Here is a 13,231-nt window from a genome sequence, read left to right as displayed (position 1 = left end):
AGTCTCATAAGGAGAAGACTGACCAGGTCATACTAATCAGTCCTCAGTGTAGAAAGGTGAGTGTGCGCTTGTCAGAGAAATGGTTTGGAGGAACCAAAACCGAGCATCCAATTAGGAAGCCATGTCAATAATTCATGTAAGGAATGATCATGGCCTGAACTAAGGCAGAGGTTGAGCACAACAGCAGAATCAAATGCTATTAAAGGGTTAAAATGGGTGTCCAGGGCACCTGCCATGGCTCACGCCTGTAATCCAAGCACGTCGGGAGGCCAAGGCTGGTGGATCCCTTGAGCTCAGGAGTTCGAAACCAGCCTGGGCAACATGGCGAAACCCTGTCCATACAAACATATAAAAATTAGCTGGGTGTTGGCTGGGCGCAGGGGCTCATGCCTGTAATCCTAGCACTTTGGGAAGCCGAGGCAGACAGATCACTTGAGGTAAGAAGTTCGAGACCAGCCTGGCCAACATGGCAAAACCCCATATCTGCAAAAAATACAATTAGCCAGGCATGGTGGTATGTGCCTGTAGTCCCAGCTACTTGGAAGGCTGAGGCAGGAGAATCTCTTGAACCCAGGAGGTGGAGGTTGCAGTGAGCTGAGATCGTGCCACTGCACTCCAGCCTGGGCAACAGAGCGAGACTCCAACTCAGAAGAAATTGTGTGTGTGTGTGTGTGTGTGTGTGTGTGTTAGCTGGGTGTAGTGGTGCACACCTGTAGTCCCAGCTACTTGGGAGGCTGAGTTGAACACAGGAGGCTGCGGCTGCAGTGAGCTGAGATCATACCACTGCCCTCCAGCCTAGGCAACAGAATGAGACCCTGTCTCTAAAAAAAAAAAAAAAAAAAGAAAAGGAAAGACATAGGTGTTCTGGTCAGGTGTAGTACAAAAGAAAAAAGATTTGTACATGACCTACTTTCCCAGTTTGCAGATTAAGTAGGGAATACAAAAGGAAGCGCAGATTTAGAGTGAGAGAATGAATTCGTCTCTTCTATGTCTGTGATTTTTCTTTTTGTTGTTGTGGTTTTGATGTTTCACTATAACACGTGCTTCCTCATGATATACTGTGTTTGTGTTCTACTGTGGTAGTTGTGGTGTTCTGCCTGCTCAGCATACGTTTCTTCCTTCCAGTAACATCAGCAGAATGACTGTTTTTCTGTTGAACACCATATCTCTCCTTGCTTGTTTCAGTTGGTTTTTAGTGTGTTTGAGGGGTGTTGATCTCATCCCTGGCTGAAGGGATAAGGACATGACTCAGTCCTGGCCAGCTGCAAGACCACAGACATCTCCCTGGCTATAGGGATTGGTTTAGGGCAGATTTGTGACCCAAGCTGAACCAATCAGAACTAGTAAGCATTACGCCAAGGCTTTTTGCTAGTGCTGTTGGGAAAGGTACTCGTTGTTGTTGTTGTTGTTGTGGTTGTTGTTTTGAGACAGGGTCTTGCTCTGTTTGCCCAGGCTGGACTGCAGCGGTGTGATCTCAGCTCACTGCAACCTCCACCTCCAGGGTTCAAGTGATTCTCCTTCAGCCTCCCAAGTAGCTGGGATTACAGGCGTACCACTACACCCAGCTAATTTTTGTAATTTTAGTAGAGATGGAGTTTCACCATGTTGGCCAGGCAGGTCTCAAACTCCTTACCTCAGGGGATCTGCCCGCCTCAGCCTCCCAAAGTGCTGGGATTACAGGCGTGAGCCACCGCACCTGGTAGAAAGGTACTCTTTCCACTCTATTTGCTAAACTGTGATGAGGCAAAGCTGGAACCACCATTTGTCATTTTGACACCGCCAGGAGTTTCCAAGACCACCCCTAAATTCACTGGTTTGCTAGGAGGACTCACAAGACTCAGTGTATGTCATACTCACAGATATGATTTATTACAGCAAAAAGATATAAGGCAGAATCCACAAAGGAAAAAGGCTCATGGGGTGAAGTCCAGAGGAAACCAGGCTCAAACTTCAAGAGTCCTCCCCCAGTGGAGTCACGCAGGACATGCCAATTCCCCCAACAATACGTTGTGACAACACACATGAAATGTTGCCCAAAAGGGAATCTCATGAGAGACTCAGCACCCAGGATTTTTATTGGGGGCTGGTTATGTGGACATTCTCTAGGACATACCAAAATTCTAGACTCCCAGAAGGAAAGCAGGTGTTTATGGTAAACCATTTTGTTTGCACAGTTTAGACACAGTGAGCTCTTAGAGAATAGCAGGAAGCTTCCCAAAACCCCAGTTCTCAGATGCCAGCCAAGGGCCAGTCTTGCAAGCAGTTCATCGTTCTAAGGACAGCAGTGTCAAGCCTGCCGTGTTACCTCTTTCCTAGACAGTCAGTTTGTCTGAGAGGGCAAACAGATCTGAGAGCTTGAAAAGAGAAGACAGATTTTAGATTACATTGTGTTGGAGTCTCTAGTTCCAGCCATGCCTGAAGCAAAATTTCTCTTTTTAAAAACTGCTTAAGTCTCAGTAAAGTCTCTGTCACTTGCGACCTTAAGAAGCATGCTGGCTGACAGAACCCATGCTAAGTAAATAAAATGTTTTCTTCTGACTTCTTTTCCACTTACTACCATCATTGTTTCCCTTCTTAAATTGTCAGAGCCTCCTTATTGACAGGGCCTTTACCCCCATAGCCTAGCATAGTACCCAGCTTATCATAGGCATTTGTAAACTTTTGATGCGTGGATGAGTTTTCTGTAGCCGTTTAGAGGATTAATCTGTTTAGATGGAAAAGGTGGTATCTGCAGCCTATTTATCCATGAAAGTGACCTAAATTAAAATTCTGACCAAGCTGAATTATCTCTTTGATCTTCCCTTTTACAAATTCCTCTTCACTGAGAAATTGGCCACCGCTCTTATTAAGTAGTACTACTTGGGCTCACCATCCTGGGCCTTTTTTTTTTTCTTTTTTTCTTTTTTGGCCTAATTAACTGTGTCACCATTCAAGCCAATTAGGTGTGTGCCTTACTGGGAGATCAATTAAAAAATAAATTAGTGTCAAAGTGGAAAGGGATGTGTCGAAAGATAAATTTTCTTTCCAGTCTTGTACAGAAGCAGCGGGAAACAGAGCATTTTGTAGCTTTACTTACATGCACACATGTAGGAAAGAAGGACTGGAAGGGATCTTAGAGGTCATGAGTTAGCTCAGTGCCTTTTGTTGCAAAGGTCAAGAAGGTTCTAAGGTCTTTGACTTGGATGATGCAATTTCAAGAGAACTTCGCTTGGACAGAAGTCTGTGTTTCATCTTTACTAGCTGTAGGCGAGTCCCTCTACCTTTCTGATCCTAAGCTATCTGTTCAGTAAGTGCTTCACTGAGTGACTATAGAAAGCATGAATGATTAGTAAAATAAATGGATTTGAGTAGGTGGGCCCAGTGTCTCTTTCAGGTCTATGGATCTGATGCAAATTCACACTGTCAGGGGCAAAGCCAGAACCATATAAAAGCGGGCATCTTTGGTACCTCTCTTGTCCTCATACCCTACATTTATCTTCCAGTAAGTCCTGCTGGCTGTGCCTTCAAGGTTCTATATACCTATCCAAGCCTACTAGATACTAAAATATTAGTTATTGAATAAACAAAATTAGGTCTCTGGCCTCTGGGCTCTTTGGATTCTACGATATATTTTTCTCCCTTCTGTTCCTTTAAAGGAGCAAATAAGAGGGACCCTGAAGTCACCAAGGGGACTTGAGTCACTGAGTTTATATCCGGCATGAAACACTGTCCAAGGCAGGAATGGAGACACAGAGTGAGGAAGAATGACGAAATCTGCCCCAAACAGGGTTCCCATGAGAGTTCAACTAATGAACAGTGACCTGCTGGCTCAGCCCAGGGAGAATCTCAAAACATAACATTTGGCTTCCAAATCATGCTAGATTGTAGTCTATATCTCTGGAGACAGATCTGGTAGCAGTTACAATGGAAGTGGGCTTTTATTCTTTTTTTTTTTTTTTTTTTTTGAGACAGAGTTTTGCTCTTGTTGCTCAGGCTGGAGTGCAGTGGTGCGATCTCGGCTCAATGCAACCTCTACCTCCTTGGTTCAAGGGTTTCTCCTGCCTCAGCCTCCTGAGTAGCTGGGATTCCAGGCAGCCGCCACCACACCCAGCTAATTTTTGTATTTTAGTAGAGATGGGGTTTCACCATGTTGGCCAGGCTGTTCTCCAACTCTTGACCTCAGGTGATCCACCCGCCTCAGCCTTCCAAAGTGCTGGGATTATAGACATGAGCCACTGCACCCAGCCTTGAATAGCTCTTAATGTTTCTCATAGACACGTACAGTAGGGGCTCAACCCCAAATGTTTGTTTCCTTGACTTAAGATTTTAGAGATACCCTGATATCCCATGACATCAGCACTGCCTTTTTTTTTTTTTTTTAATTTTTGGAAAGAAAATGTGTTTTCCTTGTAGAACAGTAAGACGATGACTCCAGACAGGATGAGGGCAGTCAGCACAAAAAGACCCTCTGGGCCTCATTGTAATAGTGAAGGAAAAAACAAGAATTGACTAGACCTTTTCAAGAATGGATTGCTCTGCTGGAGGCATCATTAAGGTTCTCCAGACTGATCCACTTTATACATGTGTGTCATGAATAAAACAATGCATGTCCGTATCAGCACAAAGGTAAAGAATGAAACTCAATTGTGTATATTTCTACTACCTACAGTCAGCTATTGTTAATATTTCAGATGCTTTTCTGTGCATATAGGATGGATTCTTTTATAAAATTGGGATCATAATATAATCCTGTTTGTATACCAGTCTTTTTCGTCTTAACTTTGCATCACAACCATTTTTCTTTGTTATGCTAAAACATAAAAGTCAAAAAGTCGGCTTGCCCTGTGTTCAAGTCCCAGCCCCGGCTCCGTAATCTTGGTGATCCAATTAACCTCTCCCTGCCATATTTTCTTTTTTTTTTTTTTTCTTTTTTTCCCCCACTTTTTTTGAGACAGGGTCTTGCTCTATAGCCCAGGCTGGAGTGCAGTGGCACAATCACGGCTCACTACAGCCTCAATCTCTTGGGCTTGGGTGATTCTCCCCCTGCAACCCGCCCCCCGCCCCCCCCCCCCCGCAACCCACCACCCCAGCCACCATGAGTAGCTGTAACTACAGGTGTGCACCACCACACCTGGCTAATTTTTATATTTTTTTTTAATAGAGATGGGGTTTTGCCACGTTGCCCAAGCTGGTCTTGAACTCCTGTGCTCAAGCAATCCGCCTACCTCCGCCTCTCAAAGTGCTGGGATTACTGGTGTGAGCCGCTGTGCCCGTCTGCCATACTTTATAGGAAAACTGGGCACCTTCTCTTCTCTGAGTGCAGTTGTTGTCAACACTGCCTTTAAGTTATAATCATCTGGGGAGCACGTGAAGAATAATGATGCCCAGGTCTACCCCATATCAGCCAAGTCAGAACCTCTGGTATGGGCAGTGGCCTGCCGTATTTTTGAAAGCTCCCTACATAATGCTGAAGTGTGGCCAGGGTTGAGATTCACTGCCCTAAGGTTGCTATCCCAGGATCTGCTGGCTACTGCAACAAAAGAGACACTGTGTCTTGGTTGTTTTGCCATGGGGGCAGTGGGGCAGGGTACTGTTTGGGAGGAGTGTTTGGAGACGGGATTAAAATCCTGGCACTTGTCCCTCCCAGGGAAAAGGGTCATCCTGTTTATTTTGTGTCAAGAGCTCAAACAGTGATCAAAATCCAATCCAACATCATAAATACCAGAAAAGGTCAGGGCTGGGCTGGTCATAGGATCAAGCACACACAGCCGAGCTGAGGTTGGCACTTAGTCAACTCCAAACTCTTCACTAGCAAACAGCACAGGGGGGGACTTGGCAAGGCCCGGCCTCTTGGCGCCCCAGTCACAGAATGGAGGTTCACATGGCTCTGTTGTTTTTGTCGAAGGAGGAGAAATGCCATTTTCTCAGCAGTCCTTCTCCTTGACTCATTAGTGTAGTTGGCAATGTGGTTACTTTTTAACTTCTCTGCAAATATTCATAGAAAGAGAAGGGGAGTAGAAGGCAGGAGCTGTTAATGTACACCAAGCTCCTATTTTTTGCAGGCCTCCACAGGGTAAAAGGGACTGGCCCCCGTGCACCAGGCCACTGCCAGTGGTGCAGATGAAGGACCTGAGCCCCCACAGGCATCTGAGGTCACATGGTCAGTAGAGCTGGGAATTTTATCCCGGGTCAGAAGAACTTCAAAGCCCATATTTTGTCTTATTACTACACATCTTAAGAGATTAGAGGGCCGGGTGCAGTGGCTCACACCTGTAATCCCAGCGCTTTGGGAGGGCAAGGCAGGTGGATCATTTGAGCCTAGGAATTTGAGACCAGCCTGGGCAACATAGCAAGACCTCTTCTCTACAAAAAAATACAAAAATTAGCCAGGTGGGTGTGGTCCCAGCTACTTGGTAGGCTGAGGTGGGAGGATCACCTGAACCTGGAAAATTTGAGGCTGCAGTGAGCTGTGATCGTGTCACTGCACTCCAGTATAGGTAGTGGAGCGAGACCCTGTCTCAAAAAAAAAAAAAAAAGTTTGGAGGATTTAATTAGATCATTTCTAGATATTCTGATCTTGATTGTGACAATCTAAAGGAAATTGCATTGTAGGCTATTTAAGGAACTTTCCACATAAGTTTGTCAAGCCAGCCTAGCTAATAGAACAGGATATGTTTGAGCAAGTTATTTACCCCATTGGGCCTATGTGGAATCCCACTGGCTCCTTTAATAAAAGAACATCCAGTCCTCAGGGTTGGTGATAAGATGAGTGTGAAGTGCGGATGCCCATGGGCATGGGGAATTTATTTACCAGTTCTTTTATTAAAAGAGCTGGCAGGATTCTGTTACCAGGACTTGCCTTTTTTTTTTTCTTTTAATCAGAAAATTTTGACAAAGAATCTATGAAGTGCAGATGTAGGGCCAACCATACTTTTCACACTTTTTTGATTGTATCCTACAGTCAGAAATACATTTTTCATCACAATCCAAAAGACATATGTGTGTATGTATGTTTATACAGGCATATATACACACATATATGCAGATGAGCAATTAAAACAATATTTTCGTAAAACAATACTTGACCTTACTATGTTCAGTGAATTTTTATATTTCTTTTCTAATCTATTTAATGTATTTTAATTTTTAAAATGCTTGCTCAGATCCACTGAATTATTTTCACAACCTTCAAATGTGTTACAAACCCTAGTTTCAAAAACACTGGACTGGAAGATATCCTAAAATGCCTTTTAACTCTGTATTAAGCATTCTGAAATTCAGCAAACTTGCCAGCAATCAGAGAGGAGATCAGAAGCTCATTTTCTAGAACCCATTTGCTGGAAGGGGCAGTGAGTAATCTCTTGTAGACGGCTTCCTTGTCCTCCAGTGGCCTTCCCCTTCATTGAGTTACTTTGTGTGGCCGTGCCAAGCATGGTGGCTGCCACGTGGTGGGGGGAGCCTTACATCTCATTTTCCTTACTTCCCAGGCAGGTGCCCTGTTTTATTTATCTCTGTATTCCAAGCATCTAGTAAGGCTCAACACTGGGCTCAGTAAATTGATGGGGAAACAAAATAAAAAATGTGGCTCCATTTTCGTTTTTCATTAACCTTCAGGGAAGATTGCACAATGTACCTTCGTAATGCTATTCATTTTTTAACTAGCTTCAATTCAGCTCAGAAATATGTATGGAAATATGCCTACTATGTGCCAGGTAATGTTGGACACAGAAGACACTAAAGAATGCGCAAGAAAGAGAAGTGATTCTTGCTCTGAAGGAAATCCTGTGTAAATGGAGAAGGGGAAGAAAAAAGCAAAAATAACTACAAAGTAATATGGCCATTGCTTGTGCAGAGAGTTTCCAAAAGCATGGTGCAGGCATAGTTGAAGGAGAGTTACTTCCACTTGGGGTAGGTGAGGTTGAGGGGAAGCACTAGAGCTGGGCTTTGAAGACTAGGCAGCAGTTTGTGAGGGTCCAAATAGCAGGGAATTCCAGGCAAAAACAGCACCTTGGAAAAGGCATGGAGGCATGATCCTGCAGGAGCTGTTTGAGGCACCATGACCTGTGGATGTGGATAAAGCTGAGAGTTCACCGGAAGCAGGCCTGCAAGGGGTTGGGCACTCTGCCTCAGAGACATAGGACTTAGGTTGGAATCGCAGGTCCTCCTCTTTCTACCTGTGATAGGCTGGATAATGGCCCCCAAAGACATCCTCAGCCTAATCCATGCACTAGAACCTGTAAAAAAGTACCCTGTATAGGGCCAGGCATGGTGGCTCACGCCCGTAATCCCAGCACTTTGGGAGGCCGAGGCGGGTGGATCACGAGGTCAGGAGTTTGAGACCAGCCTGGCCAGTATAGTGAAACCCTGTCTCTACTAAAAAATCCAAAAAAAAATTTTGCTGGGCATGGTGGCATGTGCCTGTAGTCCCGGCTACTTGGGAGGCTGAGGGAGGAGACTTGCTTGAACCCAGGAGGTGGAGGTTGGAATGAACCGAGACTGCGCCATTGCACTCCAGCCTGGGTGACAGACAAGCCTCCGTCTTAAAAAAACAAATAAACAAATAAACCCTGTATAGCAAAAGGGACTTTACATAAGCGATTAAGTTAATGGTCTTGAGATGGAGGGAGTATCCTGGACTATACAGGTGACCCCCAAATAGAATGAGTGTTCTTGGAAGAGGGAGGTGGAGGAAGATTTGGCTGCAGAGAGAAGAAGCGATATAATGATAGAAGCAGAGATTGGAGTGATGTACTTGGAAGATGGAGTTAAGGGCCACAAGCCAAGGAATACAGACAGCCACTGGAAGCTGGAAACAGCAGGGAATCGAATTCTCCCCAGAGCCTCCGCAGGGAACCAGCCCTGCCAACATCTTGACTTTAACCTGCTAAGACTGATTTCAGGCTTTCTGACCTCCAGAACTGTCAGAGAACAAACGTGTGATTTCAAGCCACGTCATTTGTAGTGAAATGTGGTACAGAAGGAATAGGAAAACTGACACACTTCTTTAAATGGCCTTTCACTGGGCGCGGTGGCTCACGCCTGTAATCCCAGCCCTTTGGGAGGCCGAGGCAGGCAGATAACCTGAGGTCAGGAGTCTGAGACCAGCCTGACCAGCATGGTGAAACCCCATCTCTACTAAAAATACAAAATTAGCCAGGCGTGGTGGCGCATGCCTGTAATCCTAGCTACTCAGGAGGCTGAGGCAGGAAAATCGCTTGAACCCGGGAGGCAGAGGTTGTAGTGAGCTGAGATTGCACCATCGCACTCCGGCCTGGGCAACAAGAGTGAAACTCTGTCTCAAAAAATAAGTAAATAAATAAATAAAATAAATGGCCTTTCAACTTTATTCCACCTCTGTAAGCCTCAGTTTCCTCATGTGTGAAAACGGGGATAGATGGGAGTCATCATGCCTGACGTGGCAGCCTCATCGGGTAAACCTCCTTCTGGTAAGGACGGTGTACGTGTCCTGAAACATGGGCCTTAGCCCACTCTGTGACGCATCATAAGGCCAAATTTATTCATGAAAGTAGATAAAGATGAAACAGGAGAGATAATTATGTTTTATTGAAAATGCTTGTTGACTTGTCTTTGTTTCTGGCAAAGCTACAAGTGTGGAGTGGAAAGTGCCTTATCTGTCTGGTTTATCACTCTCTCCTCAGTGCATAGCAGGGTGCTCAGCACGTTAAGCCTTCTGTAATTAATTGATAACTGATTAAATGCGTGCTCTGTTGTATTTGGAGATCCCAAATCATGAAACATACAGAAGGCCATTTGTAGAGAGAGATTACAGGAAGGGAGGCCAATGTGACCACCACAGTAATCTTCATGAGAGATGATTTTTCATATCTACTTAAAATCCTTCATGTTGCACTTTTCTGCTCATGCCCTTTCGTTCTGTTCTCAGAGCAAGAGAACAGCTGCAGATTGTCCTCAAATAGTCTCGTCTCTACCATTAATTTGTTCTCCAGCCTTCTCTTTCCAAACAAAATGACCCAAATTATTTTGGCTTTCCCTTGTTCAGAGTGCCGTATTGTAATGCCCTGCAGATGTTGCAAGAGGATGGCCCAGAGGACAAAGTGGGCTTGCACATGTGTTTTAAGTGACCATGCGGACTTTTTTGTTTCATGCGAATTATAAAACATGGCAACTTGAACACATGAGCTCATTTCCATGGTCTCTCAAAGTCCACCAAGATGGCAGGAAAGGAATAAAAGAAGGCGTAGTTCACAAGGACTAAGGTACTGGAAGAGGAGAATACAGACAAGGGTTGCCGGCAAATTTCAGGAGTGAAAATACAGATGGGACGGGGGAACCGACATCACAGATCAGCGATCCCACCGGGCAACAAGGCAAGGAGTGGGCTGATTGACTTTGCTGATCCCAGACAGGGCTCAGCCGTGAGAGGTTCCAGGTATTCCCAAATGCCACATGGAATGGATCCCCAGCCCTATGAGGGGGTTGGTCAATAGTTTGTATAAGAAATAGTTAGAACCCCTACCTCTTCTCCAGTTTATACAGCCAGGGAGATATTCCTCTTTGGTCCCTGCATATTGCTGCATTTTTTTTCTTTTTTTTTTTCTTTTGTTTTTGGAGTTTTACTCTCATCACCCAGGTTGGAGTACAGTAGTGCGATCTCAGCTCACTGCTTCCTCCACCTCCCGGGTTCAAGCGATTCTCCTGTCTCAGCCTCCCAAGTAGCTGGGATTACAGGCGCCTGCCACCACATCCAGCAAATTTTCGTATTTTTAGTAGAGACAGGTTTTGCCATGTTGGCCGGGCTGATCTCAAACTCCTGACCTCCGGAGATCCACCCACCTCGGCCTCCCAAAGTGCTGGGATTACAGGCATGAGCCACCGCGCCTGGCCTGCTGGAGGTTTTCTCTTGGACCCACAGCATCAGCGTGGCTCCGGACACACGCACTTCATTGTGCACAGATAGGGTTGCAGCAGGGTGCTGGAGTGAAACCAAGGAGATGAACAGAAGGCGTACGCCCTGACGGGGGAGGCCCCTCAGCCCCTCCTCTACTCAGAAGTCAGAAGGCTTGAGGCCAGTTTTCTGTCCTCCAGACAAGAGATTGTATGATTCCTCTTTGGGGAAACAGCCCAGCCCAAGATTGTGATAATGATGCTTGGGATATGCCAAGTGCTCATGTAAAGTCGTATTAAGTTATTACTCTCGGCTTCAACCCACCCTACTGGACCCTGCTCTGAGATGGTGGGGATGGGACTCTGCATTTCAGCACTGCCAGTATCTTTTGGGGGTTTTACAGATGGAGCGCCATGGGAAGACTGAGTCCAGAGGGGAAGAAGAGACTTGCTCCTGCCTGTCTGCTTCCTGTTTTTTGTAAAAATCAGCCCAGCATTGCAACCTCACCTGGTTGTGTTGTTGATTCTAGTTGTAGTCCATCCTCTCCCCAAACCCAGAACCAGCACTGGGGCAGCCCCGCCTCGGAGGCCTGGGTCCCAGCACTGTGGGGCTCCAAATTCTAATAATCCACACTCTTTCTGTGTTACCCCAGCCCTAGGATTGCAGTTGACACTTGCAGTCGCCATTTGTGTGACAGGTCAGCATTCCCCCTTTGCTCTTACATTTCCCATGCCTGGCTAGCAGCTCTTTATGAAGGTTCCGCTAGCTGGGGTTTCTTGACTGGACCCTCACTCGTGGATGCAGTAGAAGTCAGTGAGTGACTTCATCCCTCTTTTTTTTTTTGTCTGTTTGTTTTTGAGACAGAGTCTTGCTCTGTCGCCCAGGTTGGAGTGCAGTGGCGTGTTCTCCGCTCACTGCAAGCTCCGCCTCCTGGGTTCACACCATTCTCCTGCCTCAGCCTCCCGAGTAGCTGGGACTACAGGTGCCCACCACCACGCCCGGCTAATTTTTTGTATTTTTAGTAGAGACAGGGTTTCACCGTGCTGGCCAGGATGGTCTCGATCTCCTGACCTCGTGATCCGCCTGCCTCGGCCTCCCAAAGTGCTGGGATTACAGGCGTGAGCCACCACGCCCGGCTGACTTCATCCCTCTTTAGTGAAGGCCTGCAGTCAAGAAGCCCACCCACACACTCAAAGCTGCCCACCTACTTTTAATGCCTCACTCATCCGCATTATGAAGAGTCAGTAAACATTGGAGGAAAAGCTCTAATAAAAAAGTCAGGTTAGTTTTGACAAAATGAAAAAAAAAATAAAGAAATGGATAGGAAACAGTCAAGGCAGAGAAGAGCGGAAAACGTCCAAAAAAAAAAAACCTGAAATTAATGTCCTAAGAAAGATGAAACAGCTATTTCACCCATCAAATATGAACAAGATCCTACATTTTTTTTAAAAAAGGCAGCTTTGAAAAACAAGGAAGAGCTTTAGGAAATTAAAAGCATGAGTGTTGACATTTTTAAAAATGGGTCAAAAATTAGAAGATGAAGTGGGGCAGTTTACCATCTAGGTTCTTTTAGATGACTTTAGACTCATGAGAAATAAACACAAACATACATTTATTGAGTGCAGTTGCTGGGCTAACGTTTCCCGACTTGATATTAGCCCATTTATTACTGGTAAAAATCCACAAAGTCGGGGCATTTTACATCTGTTGGATTAAACAACTAAGGCTGAGGGAGCCCTGCCTGATTTTGCAGCTTCTATTAGCCTCATCGCCTCGAGAAAGAGAACTGTATGCCAATCGAGGCAGCCTGCCGCAAAGTTTCCAAGGGGCCGTATGGGGAGACAGCATCTTCATTGTCTAGCTAATTGAAAAAAGGAAGGTGCTCGAATGGAACCCAGCTGATATGAATAGTCTCAAGTGAGGACTCGGTCTTTCAGGCATGGACAGGGCCACCCAGCAGCTGACGACGTTAATAAAATTGTCAGGCAGCTATTAGAATAGCTTAAAATTATTCAATTTTTATAGGTACCTAAAAAAGCCGAACAACACTTGTCTTTGCTCATAAAATGAACATCTGTTAGCTCCCGGAAGACTGGTACCCATTGTTAGTGGCTGGCCCTTTGTATGTCACTCAGCCCAGGATGCTCATAATTTAGCTTGGGTTTTACTCCCTTCTTTAACATGGGCCCTGCAGTAGACATGCATATACTTGATGTTTCTTTTTTCTCAATTTTGTTTTTACTTTTCTCATTCCTTCCACTGAAAGACCATGAAATCAAACATTTGGATTCAACACGCACCACTTTGAGCTGTAACCTACCACGTGTCTTGCTCTGTACTGGCCCTTTGGGGCACTAGCTCATGCTCTCAGTGGCCATTTCAAGT

General features: G+C 45.4%; 1 protein-coding gene across 26 annotated transcripts in view, besides 1 other annotated feature; it reads left to right on the top strand.

Annotated features, from left to right (window-relative positions):
• The window catches only part of LARGE1 (LARGE xylosyl- and glucuronyltransferase 1), an 856,162-nt gene that overhangs the window by 376,718 nt on the left and 466,213 nt on the right, over window positions 1-13,231 (top strand). The gene's annotated exons all lie outside the window — the stretch shown is intronic.
• Window positions 1,117-1,317: a silencer, noted in NCBI's record as "peak4484 fragment used in MPRA reporter construct". NCBI's record gives its function as "represses an SCP1 promoter by STARR-seq MPRAs in K562 erythroleukemia cells {active_cell/tissue: K562}" and the evidence as "EXISTENCE:reporter gene assay evidence [ECO:0000049][PMID:32103011]".

The sequence above is a fragment of the Homo sapiens genome, chromosome 22 (genome assembly GCF_000001405.40).
Source record: "Homo sapiens chromosome 22, GRCh38.p14 Primary Assembly".
NCBI classification, from domain to species: domain Eukaryota; kingdom Metazoa; phylum Chordata; class Mammalia; order Primates; family Hominidae; genus Homo; species Homo sapiens.
The sequence above is the reverse complement of the archived record's forward strand: the minus strand, read 5'-3'. Positions and strand labels throughout refer to the sequence as shown.